Below are 19,572 nucleotides of genomic sequence, written 5' to 3'. Positions count from 1 at the left end.
TCACGTAGGCAGAATAACGGTCTCCCAAAGATGCCCTCGTCCTAATCCCTGTAACCTGTGAATATGTTACACCCCATGGCAAAAGACACTTTGCAGATTAAGTTCATGATCTTGAGATGGGAAGATGATGTGGGATTATCCAAGTGGGCCGAACGTAATCTCAAGTGTCCTCATAAGAGGGAGGCAGGGGTGTCAGAGTAAGTGAAGGAGATGAGATTATGGAAGCACAGGTCGGACACAGACACGGAGGTTTGAAGACAGTGAATTGTTAGCTTTCCACATGGAAGAAGGGGCCATGAGCCAAGGAAAGTGGGAAGTCCCCAGAAGCTGAAAAAGCCAAGGAAACAGATTCCCCCCAAGAGCTTGTAGAAGGCCCTACAGACATCTCAATTTCAGACCAGTGAGATATCCATCTTGAACTTCTGACTTCTAGAACTGTAAGTTCATAAATTTGTTTTAAGCCCATAAGTTTGTGTCAATTTGTTACAGTAGTGACAGGAAATCTACACATAGGTGTAGAGGAATTCTTGTTTTAATCAGTTACATTATATGAGGCTGCATTTACATTTGGAGATACATACTCTCATTCTAATGTCTTGACACAAGATGTGGGCTTTTAAATTCTGTGGGAACCAGAACAGAAATGGTCACTTTGGCCTTCTGACTGTCTCCATGACACAAGGAAGTCCTACCTATTGCAAAGTAGCAGAAGAACTATGGAAAAGCTCGAAAATCAAGAAAAAAGTGACCAGCGGATGAGCTGAGAGGCCAGAGCTTCTCCATCCCAGCATTTCTCACCTTTATAGATCCCATTACTTCCGCCATGAATTTCTCCTTTGGAAGACACTTCTTCTACATGTGCTCCCTGGTCCGATGTGAAGTAGATGAGGGTATCATTAGCCAATCTCAGCTCATCCAGAAGGTTCAAGATCTGCCCTGGAGGGGAAAAAGACTCCATTTAAAAATAATGCATATTCATAAAGCAAATGGAGATGGTTGCCCTACTCAGTGGGTGGCTAATTTCTCAAGGTGGAAGTAAACGTTCTTACATATTGGAGTTTATCCCAGCATGAGACGTGATGCAATCAAGACTGGCTGTGGCTGGCTTCTTAGAATAGACACCAAGATTCATTGACTTGAGTGCCATTTAGAAGCACCATTTGAACCTCTGGGTATCATGAAGTGATTCTGCAGGGAGACCTGAGAAAGTATTCTAAAAGTACCAGGTTCATTGATGGAGAGCCACTTGGAGGCAGGTGCCAGAAGAAAGAAGCTGAAAGGTTGTTCTCACCAGCTGGTGTTGGCTCTAAGGCTATAAAGAAGTCTATCATTTTTCTTTATTGGATGGGAAAACTAAACCAGTGATGTTCCTCTTATGTGAACAAATATGTATATAGATATTTTATGAGAATATTCTCTTTTAATACTTACAGTAGATACCCAAATCTAAACTATCCCTCACATGAATATCAATATTCCTCATTGATAGAGGAATAACCGGGAGTTATTCTCCAAGTCTAAACCGTCCATCACAAATATCAACATTCCTCCTGACCTCACCTTCTTTCCCCAGAACTAACATTGTATACCACCTCCAGATAACCCCTCAAAAAATAATAGCAACAACAATAATAATAACAATAATTGCTACCCTCTGTTGAGCACTGTCTACATGTAGAGAATTTTATTACATATTATCTTGTTTAGACCACACTGAACCCTATGAGTAAATGGCACTAGCTTCATTTTATGGGTAGAGCAACAATGCTGTAAAAGGCCGATTTGTTCAAGTTCAGATACTTAAGAAGTGGAAGAATCAGAAAGTAAGAATTAAATCTGATTGAAAACTCAAAATGCTCAAATCCTGAACAGGTGAATAGATAGACTCAGTGAGAATCAGAGGAGTAAAAAGTACACCAGAGAAAAAAAATCTTGTAGAGATATATCCTGAAATACCCGTAGATGAAATGGAGGTGGTGAGGAACATGATAGCTGCTGTCTTATTCAAAAGAATGCAGGGCGAGAATAAATGAGTATGGGATATAGATTCAACAAGATTAGCCAGGAGTTAATAACTGTTAAATATGAGTGAAGGGCATATGGAGGTTTAACTGTACTATTTCATTTCTGCATATGCTTATAATTTTCTGCAAGAAAAAAACAGAGGAAAGTTGAAGTTTGAAGAAGGAGCTGAAACATGGACTTTCTGATTAGGAAGCTATCACTCAGCTCTCAAATCAGAAGACAATGATGGGCAAACTAGAGGTAGACAATGTACAATTTCCACAGGGCTCTACATAGTCATATGCTGCTGATTTAATTTAATAAGTCAGTGCATACTGCTAGGCTTTGACTGGTATATTAGAGCCTGACTCCATTTCTTAATGTTTGAGTGCTAAGAGTTTTTAAGCCTCATCTCTCCCTCTTCTGCTCGTGCCACGCAGGCTGATAAGAAATCCTGGGCGCTCCCTCCTTCACCGCCGGTGGGAGGTTGGAACTATGCAAGCCCCTGTCTGCATGCAAGAGACCCTTATCCCAGCCCCAAGTACTAATCACCATAACAGCAGAATCCGTTTCTTTTCCGAGCTCTCTCAAGCTATTTTTTGTACTGGTTTAGTAACCTGCTGTATTAGTCTGCTCTCACGTTGCTAATAAAGACACACCCGAGACTGGGTAACTTATAAAAAGAGGTTTAATTGACTTACAGTATCACATGGCTGGGAAGGCCTCACAATCATGGCAGCAGGCAGGAGAGAGAGCCAGCCAAGCGAAAGCAGAAACCCCGCATAAAACCATCAGATCTCGCGAAACCTATTTATTACCATGAGAACAGTATGGGGGAAAATCTCCCCCATGATTCCATTATCTCCCACCGGGTCCCTCCCACAACACGTGGGAATTATGGGTGCTACAATTCAAGATGAGATTTGGGTGGGGACACAGCCAAACCATATCACCTGCTCTCCTCAGAAAGCCACATTATATGAGTAATAAGCCTTTTCATATCCTCTTAGTGTGTGCATGCTGTCACTGGTCTAGACATGGGAATCAAATTTTGGGTGGGCTCTTAGTCACACTAGGATGTCCACAACAACTGATATTCTACAATGGCCGCAGGCATCCTCTGCAGTCGAAATAATTAAATATAGGATTTGGAATACATCCTATCCAGCAGGTAGATCACACCCTGCAGTGCCAGACCCTTCGCTCCAGGTTGCACTCACACCCACTTGGTCCCGAAAAGGGGAAGGAGAAGGACTGCAGAGTGAGATGCCCATGGAGGTGGCAGAGATGATTTCTGATGCAAAAGCAACAACCAAGTCATTTGTGGCAAGGCATATTTTTGCTATTTGATTGCAAGTGCCACGGGCTAGAGTATGTTCAATGTTTCTCAATTTTTAACTCAAATGATAAACATTCCCAGAACCCACACCATATATGTAAATGTCATACTCAGAACCAAAAAATAAGACACCCGAGGGCCATTTTAGCAATTTGTCTCCCATGATAAATCATGATCAGGCAGACATTTATTATGGTGTTATCTGGTGCAGCTAAGCAAACCACCTGTGCTCTCGGGCTTGGGGTTGTTTGGCTGAGACACTAATTTAAGCCTAATTACTTTGAAAATGGTAATTAGCTTAATGAGTTGAAATAGAAGGAAACAATAAGGCGCTATAACCCCCGTTTATACTTTGAAAGAAAAATGCCCCCTTTTGCTCATACAACAACCTCTGTGTAAAATAACACAGATTAGGCAGGTAGCAGAGGACTTAGGAATTTGCTTCCGTGTATTGTAGTTAGTATTTAGTAAAGGGCATATGACCATACACCCTCCTTTGAAACAAAATTCATCTTTCTATATGTAGAAGTATCTGCACAAAGAAAATGCTGCAAAGAAATTTCCTATAAAAATGTGTCTCCCATAATAATTCATGTGCACACAAAAACCCACACACAAATATTTATACCATGTCTATTTATAATCGTCAAAACCTTGGATGCAATGAAACTGCCCTTCAGCAGTTGAATGGATAAATAAACTGTGGTACATCCAGACAATGAAAGATTATTTCAGAGCTAAAAAGAAATGAGCTATAAAGCCATGAAAAGCATGGAAGGATCTTAAGATATTTCTAAGTGAAAGGAGTCAATCTGAAAAGGCTACATACTGTATGATCCCAGCTATGGGACATTCTGGGAAAGGCAAAGCTATAGAGACCTTAAACAGATCAGTCATTACCGTGGGCTTGGGAGAAAGGAGGGATGAGGAGGCGGAACACAGAGGATTTTGGGGGCAGTGAAACTACTGTGTATGATCCTGTAATTGTGGATCCATGCCATTATACCTTTGTCCAAACCCACAGAACATACAACACGAAGAGTGAACCCTAATGGAAACTATGGACTTCAGTTAATCACAGCTTATCAATGTTGGCTCAATTGTAACAAATATACCACATGAATACATAATATATATAATAAGGAAACTATGTGCAGGGGAGAGTGTATGAACACTCTTTACTTTCTGTTCAGTTTTTATGTAAATGTAAAACTGCTCAAAAATAGTCTATTATTTTTGTTGTTTTTGAGACAGGGTCTTACTCTGTCTCCCAGGCTGAAGTGCAGTGTCACAATCATGGCTCACTGCAACCTCTACTTCTTGGGCTGAAGTGATCCTCCCACCTCAGCCTCCTAAGTAGCTGGGACTACAGGTGAGTATCACCATGCCTGGCTATTTTTTTTTTGTATTCGTTGTAGAGATTGGGTCTCAGTTTGTTGCCCGGGCTGGTCTCAAACTCTTGGGCTCAGGCAATCCCCTTGCCTCAGCCTCCTTCTGTTAATTTTTTAAATGCCTTTCAAATGCAGTTTTGACTCCTAGACTTCCTCATGCATTCATTCAACATGGGTTTATGAAGTGCCCACCTTACACGGGCTGTGTGCTAAAGGCTGGGGTGTCACAGAGTTTTTCAGGGACAGCTCTTATCCCCAAAGCCAAGGCCAGCTACATCCTACTTACAGCTTCTCCTCTTGCCTATTTTTAACTCCAGACAAATTTACAGCTGCATTTATTATGCAGATTCTCTCAACTGAAATATCCTGCATCCTTCCCCATCTTAATGCTTATCCCTGGATATCTCCTCCAAATTCCAATATTTCAAATGACCATGATATTTAACATGTCCTCATCAAGTTTCTTCTTCATTGCCTAGAGTGATCACTTTCATTAAAGTGCCCTATACAACTGGGCTGGGATTAGTACAAGAGAAAGTAGCTGAGGCTGCCATGCACGTATGCATGGTAGAATATTTAGCTCAACTTCCTGAGAAATGGTCAGATTTCTAATTTCCTTTTAGCCCATTCTTTCCCAAAAGATACAGTCTGGATCCCATACTACTCAGGTCTTAAGCCAGAATCTCATTTGTAAATCCCAGAGCCCATTCGACATTTAATTTTTTATAACATTGATCCTACAAAGGTCTAACATGTTTCCCTCCTAAACACTGTGAACAGAAATCTCCCATGAGAACAAATGCTGCTGTATTATTTTTGCTTTCAGAGCAATCTATTATAAATTAGAGGTCTGCAAATATTATTTCTCAGGAAGGTTCTCAAGATATAATGACACTGATTTATATAGAGTGATAGTTTTGAATTGCCGATGGTGAGCTGCATTATAGCTTGTAAATGAAATGTTCTATCTCCAAAGCTTTCTGCCTTTGTTTTCTGAAGGAAACAAATATAGAAAATAAGCCATTTCAAGAGCACTTTGTTATTTAACTGGAGATAACAAGAACAAGCTTATCAATGTGAGGGCTTCCTAACCAGACCTTTTGCAGTCCCAAAGAAGAAACCTTGGAAATGCAAAAATCTGGCTCCTTCCTCTGTCAAGTGTGGATGTGGGTTGCAGAGGAAGCCTAAATTCTAGAAAGTTCTGTCATTCCATTTATTTAGCCCACAAACAAGCACTAAGCTACTATTAAGAGTCAGGCACTGAGCTACAAAGTGCAGAGAGAGAAGGGTTTCAAACATGAAAGCAGAATTCGAGGTCTTAGGTGAGTGAGGTGCCACAGCATAGGACTAAGTGCTAAAGTTCTTGCTTCTAGGTCCTGACTTAAGCGAGTTGGTTTGAAACCCAAGTCTCTGGCTTCTCACTGGGATCCTCTGCCACTAAGTCAGAGGTGATAATGGATAATAGTAGGGGGTTGCTGTGGAAGAATGAGGAATTCCACCCAAAACACTTCATCCTGGACTGGCCGTACAGGGAGTGCTCACTGTTCCTTAACTTTACAATGGAGTTAGAACCTCAGCTTGCCTCACCAAATCCTTGTCATTTTAGTTCATTTCGCTTTGCCTTTTCTTCTACAAGGTAGGTACACTCAGACAGAATACTGGAGCAAAGTGCTATGAAGTCACTATATATATATGAAAGTTATACTTTTGGAAGCATTAGGCTCATTAAATATAACATAGATATGTTTTATATTATATATAACACACACACATATATGTATATATGTTTTATATTATATATGTGTATATATTTTTATATACACATATATAAAATTATATATTTTATACGTATATTATATAAATTTATATAGAATGTTATAATTTTGTAAGTATACATGTAAATTATGTTTTATAATATTTCTAAATTTAATTAATATAATTATATATTTATTATCATGTTATTTATATTTATATACTTACATATAATTTATAATTATAAATTTTATAATTATATATAATTATATAAAATTTATATATTTTATATAATTATATATTTATATATTTATATACTTTATATATAAATTTTAATTATACAATTTATATAGAAATTATAATTATATAAATATATACTTATATATGTTATATACATATAACATAATTATTATAAAATAATTTATATATAAATAAATATATTTATTTATATATAAATATATAAATAAAATATATTTATATATATATAAATATATAATTATTTTATATAATATTAATATATAATATAAAACATAGGTGTTTTATTTTTATATCACATATGCTAGATAGATAGGTAGATATCCCCTTAAACAGGCACCCACTGTTAATAATTAAGAAAGCCTCTTCACTTACTCAGTGTAACTCCAGGGCACAATGGTACCCTAAAGTCTCCCTGAAGCTATGCTGGTGAGCAAGTTACTCCTACATCTGACCAACAGAGATGGCGAGACTCCAGTATTTCAGCTAAAGCTAGAATTTTAAGATAGATAAGAGTTGCAATAATTGTACCACCTGGGGGTGGCTACGACTCTCTGCTGGCCATATAAAATGCTAGGTGTTACTTCAGGGATGTGGCCTTTGGAGCGTTATTCTCATGCTCTCCTGAACCATTGTGGAGTGGCACAGAGATATTCTGCTGTCACTAGTCCCAGAAAGGGAATTCTTTGTTAGGATTAGAAGTAACACCAATGTCCCATACATCAGGGTATATCTGTCACTGCACAAATAGGTGTATCATCTCCAGTTTGATACAATGTCCATTTCATATAGGTGAATTCAATCTAGTACTTCTTCCTGAAATAAATGGTCAAGATTTCCAAAACTTTAGTCCTGATCTCCTCCATCCATATGGAGCTCAAGGGACCCTTCAGATCAGACATTGGAAAGCATATGATTTATCTACAGTATAAAATCAAATCTAAAAGTTTACACATAAAAGAAAAATAGTATAGGACCAAAATAAAAAGGCATAAAGTTGATAATCTGCATTTTGTATGTTGGTTGAGATACAAAAGTGATGTGCTGTCTTTTGGGGGGTTTATTAAGGAAGTCTTTCCTACCTACTCAATGTAACTGCAGGGAATATTGGTGTTTGTATGGCTTTTCCCTTTTTTTTCAAGAGAAGAATGCAAAATGGCATAATAGTTAAATAGGAGAAGTTGTGCTTTGCTGTACTCAACATGGATCTAATGCAACTCCTGCATAAAAGGTCATCTGGGATTCAATCAGTCAAATGCCAAGTGGACAGCAAGGTCTAAGGAGGGCACTGGAAATGAAACTCTTGCAGGAGAGTTGCAGGAACTAAGGAACTGGGAGGCAGATGGTGAACTCCAGCACATACTGTATCTACTTCCTGAATAACAAGAGAAGAGTGGCTCCTATCTCCCCTAATGACTGAGCAAGAGACAAGGGGCTCAAACTTCTGCCATGGGCAGTTTATGTTAATAAATGCAAATTTGTCTGCCTCAAATAGATGATGGAGAATCATCCTCTCTGAAGTTCTTGGATTAGAGGATAAATTTCTCTTCGACGGTGATGGGTGGACGTACCCAATGCAAGATCTTCCCATTCAACTAGTCACTACATGCATTAATTTGTGTATCATCATGCTTTTTATTAATTTACTCACTTTCACATGTCATAAGTTAACATAAAAATTTCATTCAAAACATGTTAAGAAGACATCCCTAATCGTTTTTTAAATAACTATGGAAAAGTAAGCAAATGTGATATTCGGAAACTGATTAGATTAACTTAAACAATTTTTTAAAGAATTCTGCTGGCTGAACCAAACTAACACACAAGACCTTGTACTTAGCATATAGGTTTCATAGTATAGTCACCTTATATACCAATGTTTCTTGAATTTCAATTGGCTAATTCATGACCATGCTAAAATGAAGGTTCTGATTCAGTAAACCTAGAGTGGGGATCTGAGAATTTCTAAAAAAAAAAAAAAAAGCTCTTACATAATGCTGATGGTACCTGCCCAAGAACCACACTTTGAGAGGAAAGGTTACCTGCGACTAAATGCTTAATCAATGTTGACATATAAAAAGAGATGGCTGGAATTTCACAGTTCTCAGTAACAATGCTCATAATGAGACTTGGCTAGTTTCAGACAATTTGACACATAACTTTCAAACATAGTAAATAATCATACTATGCATATAATCGGAATTATTAGGGTACTTAAAACATGGAAAACTGTAAGAGTGCAATGTCGCCATTCTACAGATAACCCTGTCTTCACTTGACTGGGTTTCCCTCTTTGGTTTGTTCCTGAGTTCATATTGTCCCCTGGTAATTAATTCTTATATTGTGTTGTACCTGGTTGTTGTGATAATGTTGTGATTTCCTCCATTAAACCCATCTTTGCCCTAATGGCAGTCGTAATGTGTGATTTACCCTCCTGCACTTGCATCTGCTCTCACCATCTGGGATGCCTTCACGGATCTACTCCACTATTTTCTTGGATTAACAATAACTTGTGTGTTTTCCAGGGTGTTGCATTTGCTGGAAATAATTTAAATAACTCCAACTTGTTCTCACGTTCATGGGGCACACCAGTGTTTTCCTGCATAGATGGGAAAAGGTGCGGGGAAGAACAAAGTCATTGTACCTGTTCTGTGGAACTATACTCCTTCCGGTGTCTGGGAGAAGACCCAAAGTCAGCATGCCTGTAGCTCAAGGGAAGCCACTTTGGACATCGTTTCCATAGGGTTATCGACATCACAATAGAGTGGTTTCCCTGAGCCATGGGCATTCAGACTAGCAGGACATGTTTTGAAAGAGCAGAGTTCAAAGTGAGCACACTGTCTTTCAATTCTTGATCCAGCAATGCCATTGTATTTCCTGGACTTTCTCTTCTTGCAAAGATAGAGATTGGGTAATCGGGTACAGCCATTTGCTGTTTGGTATGGCCATCAGCTGAACTTGCCCTGGGAGGTAACCCAGCCTGTGCCATGGAGTAGGAGGTTGCACAGATGCTCATTGCATCATTTCTATGACAGAAGTCAATGCAAAGCTCTGGACACAGATCAGCCAGAACTTCTCCAGCAATATCCAACTGGAGGTGCAACCTTAAACCTCCAGACTGAGCCACAAGGGAGGGAGGACTGTGAGTCGAGAATGGCCAGAGGCTATGAACAATGGACTGGGAAACAAAGCCCTTCAGAATTCTTCATATTTATGATGCTCTACCACACCATCGAGACTCACGTTCATGCTACAACTAGGTCTTTGCATTGGATTTTACCATCTCTAAAGCTGAAGATACAAAATTGAAAATGATGTTTTCCTTTGCTGACACCTTGTACATCAGTCACAGGTCCAAGCCTTTCTTTCCACTTGAATTAAAACATGGACAGATTGATTAATGCCTTGGTAAACTCATCTTTTATGTTTTGCAACCTCCTTAATCCATGCAACCTTCAGTTTGCCAGTCACAGCTTCTTTGCAATATCCTCCTAACTCCAGGATGATCTGTTTGCTTTATGTGGGGACTTGCAGTGTTAGTCGAGAGAAGCAGATCTTTCCCCAAGATCCTTAATACCAATGCTATTGGTGGGCCCTTCTAGGGACCGTGGGTCCTACCAGAGATACCTTAAATATAAGGTGAGCTAGTAATAAAAAAGATAAGATGATGCAAATATCTGCTTAGTTTTCCATTATAGACGTTTTCTCATCTATGATTTTTCTACTCAATGTAATGGAGGTATAGGCACATTTTAAGCAAAGATGCTTTACACATCTGTGGAAAGAAGAGTAATCATAACAATAATGATAATAATAATGATAGCAGTTACCATTTATTGAGCCTGTCTTGCAAGCCAGGCACTATGCTCACTACTCTAAATATATTACTTCATTTAATCCAATTAATTAATTCAATTATTTCAAGCAGGCTGAATAAATTCATGGAGGAGGAATGTTCCACTAGATTTTTTTGACTGAGCTATAATTGGGCCATGACTTTAAAGCAACAGGTATTCAACTCTAGTTCTGACCCCTAATTTTGACCTCACTTTTCAAATATACACATTGGTATTCAGTGGAGTATTATTTAGAACACAGCTTTAACTCAAACTCATGGATTCTAATGTCGTTCCTTTCTATGCCTTGAAAGACTTAATTAGCAAAATTAAATGTGCTTGGAATGGTTAGATGGCAGAAAAAGCATTACCCAAAACACCCTTGTAGTACCCATAGCTTCTACTGTCCTCCACATCCCTTGTTTAACTTTGAACCCAGATATCTTTATAGTATCTGAGGCAAACTCAAGAACTCAGGACTTGATGGAATACTAGAATACAGGAGTGAGAAGAAAACTGTCAGAGGCCATTGGTCCAAACAGACTTGTCTTATACACAACCTGCAGCTCCAGAGCAGGAGACTCTCCCCAGCAACCAGGTAGGTCTACTGTCTGAATTCAATTCACAATCCAGAACTCTTCTCATGCAGCCAAGAAGCTCTATAGTGTAGTGGCTGTTGGGCAATCCTGACACAAGTTGCTCAACCTAACCAAATTTTGCTTTGTTGCCTTTAAACCAGAGGTGATGATAAAAGTATCTTGTAGCATAGTTGTAGGGATTACATTAAGTAATCCATGTTTAGACGCATGACTAAGATTGTGCTTAGAGATGTGACTAAAATAGACTAAATGCTTTTGCATTTTAGCTATTGTAAGTCTTAAATGTTTATTATTATTGTGGTGCAATTGTGTTGCTGCTAATTATTGATAGTATTCAGATGCTCTCATGTACTTTTATTAATCCCATCTGAATTAACTAGCCAAATGGTCTTTTAATGGTCATTCCATCATGACCATTTTAGCGTGGTCATGATAATTGATAACTTGATTCTTTGATAATTTCTTATGGTATCTTCTTGGAAGATACCATAATAAATGGAAGATACCATGGAAACGATAGAAATAATTTATAAGACAACATTAAACACTATTAATTTTAATTTGAGATACAAATTCCAGGTAAGATAATATTAGTTTCAGGCTCAAGAACCTGAAATTAGGTTTGCAGATGTTTAAACATGGTAACATCATTATAGACTTGATAAGACTCAGAGATTAATGATTTATAAGCTAAATTAATGTAGAGGACCAAAATCAATACTCTATACAATGGATTTTCAACTATGTATTACAGTTAAAAGTTTTTTTTGGCTCTCCAGGCCTACCTTGGTCTGGCCATAATGCCCTTACCCCATCTCTCTCAAATTTTATTTTTTTTAAATTTATTTTAGAGATGGGGTCTTACTTTGTTGCCCAGGCTGGAGTGCAGTGGTGCAATCATAGCTCATTGTAGCCTCAAACACCTGGTCTCAAGCTAACCCTTCTGCTATTTTTCCTGCTATGTACTGTTTCCATCTGTAATCTGAGGTTGCAAAAACCTCTTTCTGCAAAGTTTACTATTTTGTCACAAATGCAGATTTACTGGAAACTCAAATAGAAAGTGGAGAGAGAAGAAAAACATACACAATATCTACATATCCTTCATTCTTGCTGCACTGTTATCACTGGGTTTTCTGATACCCTGGTTTACTTTGAGCTTTCCATATGGGTGTAACTGAGGCATACATTTAAAATCAAGAATAGGATGATGGAAGAAAAAAAAATGCCATTTTCGAAGATGTGGATTCACCTGCAAGAGCAAAGGATTTAACATTAATGCCATTGAAAGCATGCTATATTCTGACTACAGCACATATGGGGAATATCAAATTAGTGGGCAAATGGGTCACAAAAAGAATCATTGAGGAATTCAGTGGAAAATAACTCCAGCACTGCCACTCATACCAGATAGTCGAGGAGAGGCAATGAAGAGTTTCTCATCTTTATGTCCCTAGTGTTCCGGCCTTGTCTTTAATCATACTTCAGTTGATACTGGCTTTATGTAGAAGTTCCATTCCTCAACTCTTTAAAAAGTACCAAGTAAAGAAGTCCAATAAACATTTTTGTGGGGCTCATGTTCAGGGGCATGAATAGTTCAACTATCACACTCCAGGAGGCTGCCCAAGGGCACAGAAGTCTAACCCGGAAGTAGAGATGGCAACTGAGAGCCAATGAGGCTTGTTGCATTGAACTAGTGTTTAGACAGCAGTCACCTAGAAAGTCATTCTTCTCCCTCCCAAAACAGAGGCAAGCCCTGCCACCCTACCCACTCTTGCTTTAAAAGCACAAAGAGAAGCCAATGCCAAATATCAGGCAACTGGCATTGAGACAGTGTGGTACCAGTACCATGCTGTTTTGGTTACTGTAGCCTTGTAATATAGTTTGAAGTCAGGAAGCATGCACTGAAAGGATGACCTTGCCCAGTGACCTCCATCTTCAGTCCTAACTAGACTGGTTCAGTGGCAAAGTGAGAAAAGTATTCTTTGGAATACTCTTAAATTAAGAAATGCTTCAAGCAGGACTCTGATGCAATTGCAAGCAGAGGGACTGAGCAATTTCATTAGAATAAAGACCTTCCTCCAGGAAATGACTATTCTGTGAATGGTCAACTTGGCATATGGCATGCAGTGGATCAAAGCACATGGCATGCAATGCAGAACATGGTAAGGAACGACAAGACTATGGACCAAACCAAGCAGAAGCCATCTGCAGAGCCATGAGTAGCTAAAGGATTTACTGGCTTTGGGTGAGACATGGTGGAAGGAAATATGCTACATATTATGTGTAGTTCGCTGCATGCTTTTATGCAAATCCATATGAATGTGGATGTATATTCTATGATGTGGATCCAGGCAGTAACACCACTTGTGGATGTTATAACTCAGTGTATACTGTTCTGTACAAAGACTCCCTTTCCATCTCCCAAACTGAATAGACTGAAGCCCTTCTTGGCCAACGATATCTGAGCAAGACCCACTCCTGTCTACAAGAGCTGTGTTTTGTACAGATGCATCCCCATGCTGGGACACCCTCTCGGGAAGTTCTGCAAGGATAAAGTTACAAAGAAATAGTAACACAGAAGCATCTACTCTATCTGTAAGTATGGCAATTCTCTCTGTTTCCAAATAAATTGTAATGTCATTTCACGTCTCTCCTTCCTATGCTTAATTGCAAGGCAGCACTACGCAAAACCAAAATGTCAAGTTGTGTAAACAAAACAAAATCGTTTTTCTCAAAGTCAGCGCTCAAAGCTTCAAAGATTGTCAAAGAAGCTTGTTTTCTCTAGGTTTTTTTCTTCCTAAAGTATGGTATATTTACTTGCAACAAATCGGATGCATAAAAGCATTTATAGATGGTTGTTACTGATGAAACTTGGCAGACAAGAAATAGCTATTGTCGGCACAGGTATTTGACAGGTAATTCCACCTTCAAGTGATTAAAGTTAAAAGACTTAAAATGCTGTAATTTTGTCATTTTTGTTTTGTTCTGGCTATTGTCTTACCTTAGAATAAAAAAAAAATTATGACAACAATGTTCTTTCACTAACAATTTTCTACAAACTGGAAGTGTGAATAGGTGCAACAGTTAGATTTTGCCGTGACTGACTAAATGGAGTTCATTTAGGTGAGCATCAGTATTTGTTTTAAAATTTAAGTAATTGATGAGCTAAATTAGTCAGGGTACACTCACTGTGAGTGACCTTAAATAAATGAAATTTTGTGTTAAGTATGGCAGGCACTAAGGTAACGCCAGAAACAGCAGAGGTTTGTTCTGTTTTAATTTTTTTGCTTCAGTGGTATCTGGGGTACCCAATGAACAAGATCCATTTTGCACTGAGAAGGAGTAATATACGAAAGTATATGCTATGTTATAACCTTCTCTTTTTTCTACTTCTTGAGAGCAAATAAAATGACTTACAGAATCCTGTTGTAAAGAAACTTTCCTTCCTAAGTGTTTACCTCCCCAAGAAAGCATTAAGCCACTGTTGCCCCCAAACCACGGGCGCTGCATGCCATGTTGAGAGATGCAGTCCAAGTGGGTGAGCCCAGAAATCACCCTAAGACAGACAGTTAGCTCCCAGCAGACTCTGTGAGCAATCCTGAATTTCTACTCCACGAGGCTTGTTGGAGAAGTGACTCTTCAGATTGCAGGCAGAGAGGCGTGCTCACATGATCTCAGATGACAAAGTTATGGAAATATTTCATTTACTCCATTTTTCTCATGGTGAGATACCAAACCAACGAAAGGTCACAAGACTCGAACACACGAAATTGTGCCCTAAGAGAGCTATGGCCATTTGCTCCCCTTTCCTACCAAAAAGCAAAATAAAATATACTTGGAGGAGAGACGGCAAAGTCAAGATGCACAGAAAAGAGAATCAACTGACGCTGTGATGCAACAAAAGCTCTGTGTGAAGGCTTCCTAACAATAGTGAATGTTTGCCCAGTGCTTAATACACCGAAGGCACTCTTCAAAACATCCCCAGCAAGAAAGGCAATGAAATGATCTCATTTTACAGAGAAAGAAGTGGGGGCTCAGTGAGAGAGGTCACCTGCCCACATTTAACCGCCAGAGGTTGGTCAGTGGGGGATAGAATCACATGCAATCTGGTCACAAAGTCTGTCCTTTCTTGGCACCGCTGCTGCCATCAATATGCTGAAGCCAGAAGTGGTATGATATCATCGTCCCAGTATACACTGTGTGGGGCGGAACCATATACACATGGCTCTGAATGTTGCCTCTGCAATCTGCTGATTTTGTGAGCTTGCTGAGACTAGTTACTGCCTTCCAATGCACCTTGGTTTACACATCTTTAAAATGGGATAATACAGTTCCATTCGCAGAAGGCTGCCATGAGAACTACTATGAATGCATAACACCTGGCAGACAGTAAGTATATAGTGAGAGAAGAACGAGTAACTTTATTAGTAGTAGTATTAATATTATCAGTGGAGCAGATGACAGCGGCAGCGTGACAACAGGACACAGTCTAATGTGACAGTGAACACAAGAAGAGCAAGGAGAAGAGATGGCAACACAGCACTGAACCCCCAATTTAATGCTGCCAGTACCATTAAGGGCCTTTTGGTTTTTGAAAATGGTCCCATGATGCCAAAGAAAGGGCTCAGATCAAGAACTGTCTGCTTTCAATTAAGTATGCATTCATTCATGGGATAGAAATGTCTTCTCTTCAAATGATCTCATGAGTTGTATTTCTCTTCCCTCTTTTCTAAATGCAGAAATCTAAACAGCTTGAGCACTGGTTTCATAAGATTCCAGAAACAAGGAGAACATAGACCAATTTCTGCCTCCTTCTTTTTCCTAGCTCCCTTTGCAAAAGTGACATAACTACTCTAGAAGAAACATATTCTGTCTGTAATCCCAACATTTTGGGAGGCTGAGGTGGGTGAACTGACTGAGCTCAGGAGTTCAAGACCAGCCCGGGCAACATAGTAAAACCCTGTCTCTACAAAATACATACACACATACAAAAATTAGCTGGGCATGGTGGCACATGCTTATAGTCCCTGCTACTTGGGGGGCTGAGGCAGGAAGATTGCTTGAAGCTGCAGTGAGCCGAGATCACGCCACTGCACTCCAGCCTAGGTGACAAAACGAGACCTCATCTCTTAAGGAAAAAAAAGACATATTCCTGGATTCATGACCATCATAGGAATCTGAGTGGGGGACATGGCTGTACACCTGGATACAGATGAGATTCCACAGGTAAGGACCCACAGGTCAGGGAAGGATGCACAGTAGCACCAGCCAGCTGCTCCCTCCTCACTGCTTGGGGAAGACATGTGGGAGCAAAGCAGGAGGCTCCCTTTGGAGGCAATTGAGAAAAGCCCCTCCTTCACTTGATTTCAAGGCTTTGTGCTCCTCATCCAAGTGGGAATGGTAGCACCTGAGGAAAATAGCTCTTGGAGGGTACAGTCACCAAACCATCCCACCCTCCCCTGTGTGCAAACTACTTTCCCAGCCCTAACCTTGCCCCTGCCTGCTCACATGGGTTGCAAATCACTGTTGCTGCCCCATGGGACCAAGGGAAGCCCAACCACCTGATGACCCTCACCTCCTCCTAAAACCCCACCCAGAAATGGTGGCTACAGAAGCCAGTCCAAAAGTGAGGCTGTTAGAAGCCATCAGCAGCTCCCAGAAACCATAGGTTGCTCTTGACAGCTCTAGCAGTTGAAGCCCTCCTTGTGGTCCTAACTCATTTGGCTGGTGGATGCCACGACCACCATGAGGACCTCATGTACTTGCAAGGGGAGCTTGGCTTCACTCCCAATCTCCTGCAGTGACAGTGTAGGTTTGAACTAATTATTGCTGCCCACTCAAGGGTGGATCTAGCTAGATGAATCAGCCAATGCTGGACCTCATGGGAAGAGACTACTGGGCTACAGCCACCTGGCTTCCAGTGGTTTCATTATGGTGACCCTCTGCATAGCCCTTGCAGAAAAGATCCTAACTGGATTCCTACCACCTGAAGACAAAGTATAACACTGGGCCACCAACACTTGTCCTACCCAAGTTTTAAGAGGTCCCACACCAGCCAAGAGTACTGATCAATCAAGACCCAAATTCACAAGAATAGGCAAATAACACATGGTCCATCACAGACACACACACACACACACACACACACACACACACACACACACACGTACAGAATTTCCTCCACAGATGAAATATCTAACTGTAAAGCATGAAGCCATATACATATTGGGTGAAAATACAAGGGAAAGGGTGTATACATATAGGTTGAGTATTCTACATCTGAAAATCTGAAATCTGAGATGCTCCTAAGTCCTGAACTTTTTGAGTGTCAACATGATGCTCACACAAAGGAAATGCTCATTGGAGCATTTTGAGTTTCAGATTTTTGGATTAGGGATGCTGAGCTGGTGAGTATAATATAAATATTCCCAAATCTGAAAGCATTCCAAATCTGAAACACTTCTGGTCCTGAGTATTTTGGATGAATATTTGAGTATTTTGGATACTCAACCTGTAATTTGTAGGGGAGTAAGAAAAGCTTTAAAAAAAAAAAATCTTCCAATTACAAGCCCCAGACATCATGAAGGTTTAACTACAAAAATTTATTGCAAAAGACTCTTTAAATAGAATGAAAAGACAAAAAAAAAAGGCAGGAAAAATATTTGCAGTGTACAATAAGTAAAATATTAATGTTCTTATCATATAGATAGTGCAAACAAATCAATAAGAAAAAGATCTACAATCCAATAGAAAAGTGACCAAAGAATCCTTGGGAGAAGAAATACAACACTGTACTAACCCTACACACAATAGAAAAAAAAATAGTGAACTAGCATTTTTCACCCGATAGATGAAAAAGAGACTGATAATATCCAGGGTTGCTAAGAGTATGAGGAAATTAGCGTTCTCATTGATTATCAATGGGTATCCTACTATCATGGTGAAAAAAAGAGTATACCTATTTTAGGCAATATCAAATGAAAGCAAATTTTTTATGCTCTTTGATCCAGCAAATTTGATCTCGGCTGAATTTTTATTTCAAAATTATTCCCACCAGTTCACACAGCTTTACAGAATATTCACTTATAGCACTACCTGAAATACAAATAAATAAATAAATAAATAAAATAAAAAATAAAAAAATTTTAAAAAAGGAACTCAGATGTCCCTCACAGAGGAATGATTAAACAAATTGTAGTCTAAGAAAGGTAAAATGAAAATCGAAATGGTGAAATGGAAAAATGACCAAATAGATAGTTGAGCGAAAAGAAAAAACTGCAGAATAGCATATAGAGTTTGTGTAAAATATTCTTAATAGTCAAATCTTGATATTAATATGTCATACTGGCAACATATAAGAAATAAATCTATCCAGCAAACTATTAATGATGCTGCCTATTTAGGGGTGAGATTTCATGGGTCATTCCCTTTCTGTACTGTTTGTGTCTATATTCTTCGGTTTTGCATACTGCGGATTACTTTGGTAATCAGAAAAACATTTATACAAAGTGTGGAAAACACTAAAAAAACACAGAAGACTGAGGCAACAATTTAAATTTTTTTTTCTGTTGCAAAGTGGTATGTGACATGCTATCTCACACTCACCCCCAGAACTCTGCTCTTGAACTACATTAAATCATAGACCTTAGCTCTCAGTGACTTCATCCTAAGCCTCTGCATGAAGAGAAAGCTGTCCAGACATCGTAGGAAGGCACAAGAAAAGCATAAACTCTGGGACAGTCAGCGAGCATCTCATAGCTACTGTCTCCTCCATTCCACGCCTTGTCACTCACAAAGGCTTCCCAAACACACAATTCTGAAAGTGACAATCAATAGAAAATGTTGACATATGTGATTTTATTTCAATTTACCAAAAATTCATTTTCTTCCTGCAGTAATGAAAAGGAGTAAGAACCCTAGATAAAATTATATTCCAGTAACAAATGGTCTATCCTATTTGAGAAAGCCTTGTATTTTAAAAAGTATATACAAAACACTCCCAAACAGCAAAACAGCACATATCCTAAAGTGTACTATATATCTTTACAGTCAAGCATGTAACTGGCGGTTTTTAAACTGTCTCTTTATTAAATACGTTTGGCAATCGTGGAAAGAGAATCACGCATAAGTGGGTTTGTATTAGTCATTCCTTTGCAATGTAGAGGTTGTCATCACCTCCTAGATGTTTTCCTGAAGTTTCAAAACCTCATTATGCATGTTGCATTCAGGTAAACAGTGGTCTGTAATGGAAATGATTTCATTTCTCTCCTGTCTAGATCTGCTTGAATAAAAAATTGGTTCATTAGGCAGCAGAGGCTTAATACCAGCCCCTGTCAAAAGTCCCTGAGAAGATACTGTCTATCTGCAATTTCATGATTATCACAGCAATCTCAGCA

The 19,572-nt window shown here is 39.1% G+C and overlaps 1 protein-coding gene across 7 annotated transcripts in view, besides 1 other annotated feature; it reads right to left on the bottom strand.

Annotated features, from left to right (window-relative positions):
• STS (steroid sulfatase) overlaps nt 1-19,572 on the bottom strand; it is a 207,352-nt gene that overhangs the window by 48,660 nt on the left and 139,120 nt on the right. For all 7 annotated transcript variants that reach the window (NM_001320750.3, NM_001320751.2, NM_001320752.2 and 4 more), the window contains one exon: nt 799-936. In NM_001320750.3, the coding sequence (NP_001307679.1) occupies nt 799-936 (138 nt within the window). The remainder of the gene's footprint in view (nt 1-798; nt 937-19,572) is intronic.
• Nucleotides 14,883-15,384: an enhancer, noted in NCBI's record as "NANOG hESC enhancer chrX:7208639-7209140 (GRCh37/hg19 assembly coordinates)". NCBI's record gives its function as "activates a minimal SCP1, AML or CMV promoter by ChIP-STARR-seq in primed H9 embryonic stem cells {active_cell/tissue: H9 hESC(primed)}" and the evidence as "EXISTENCE:reporter gene assay evidence [ECO:0000049][PMID:30033119]".

The sequence above is a fragment of the Homo sapiens genome, chromosome X (assembly GCF_000001405.40).
Source record: "Homo sapiens chromosome X, GRCh38.p14 Primary Assembly".
In the NCBI taxonomy this organism is placed as follows: domain Eukaryota; kingdom Metazoa; phylum Chordata; class Mammalia; order Primates; family Hominidae; genus Homo; species Homo sapiens.
Note: the sequence above shows the minus strand (reverse complement) of the source record. Positions and strands in the feature narration are given on the sequence as shown.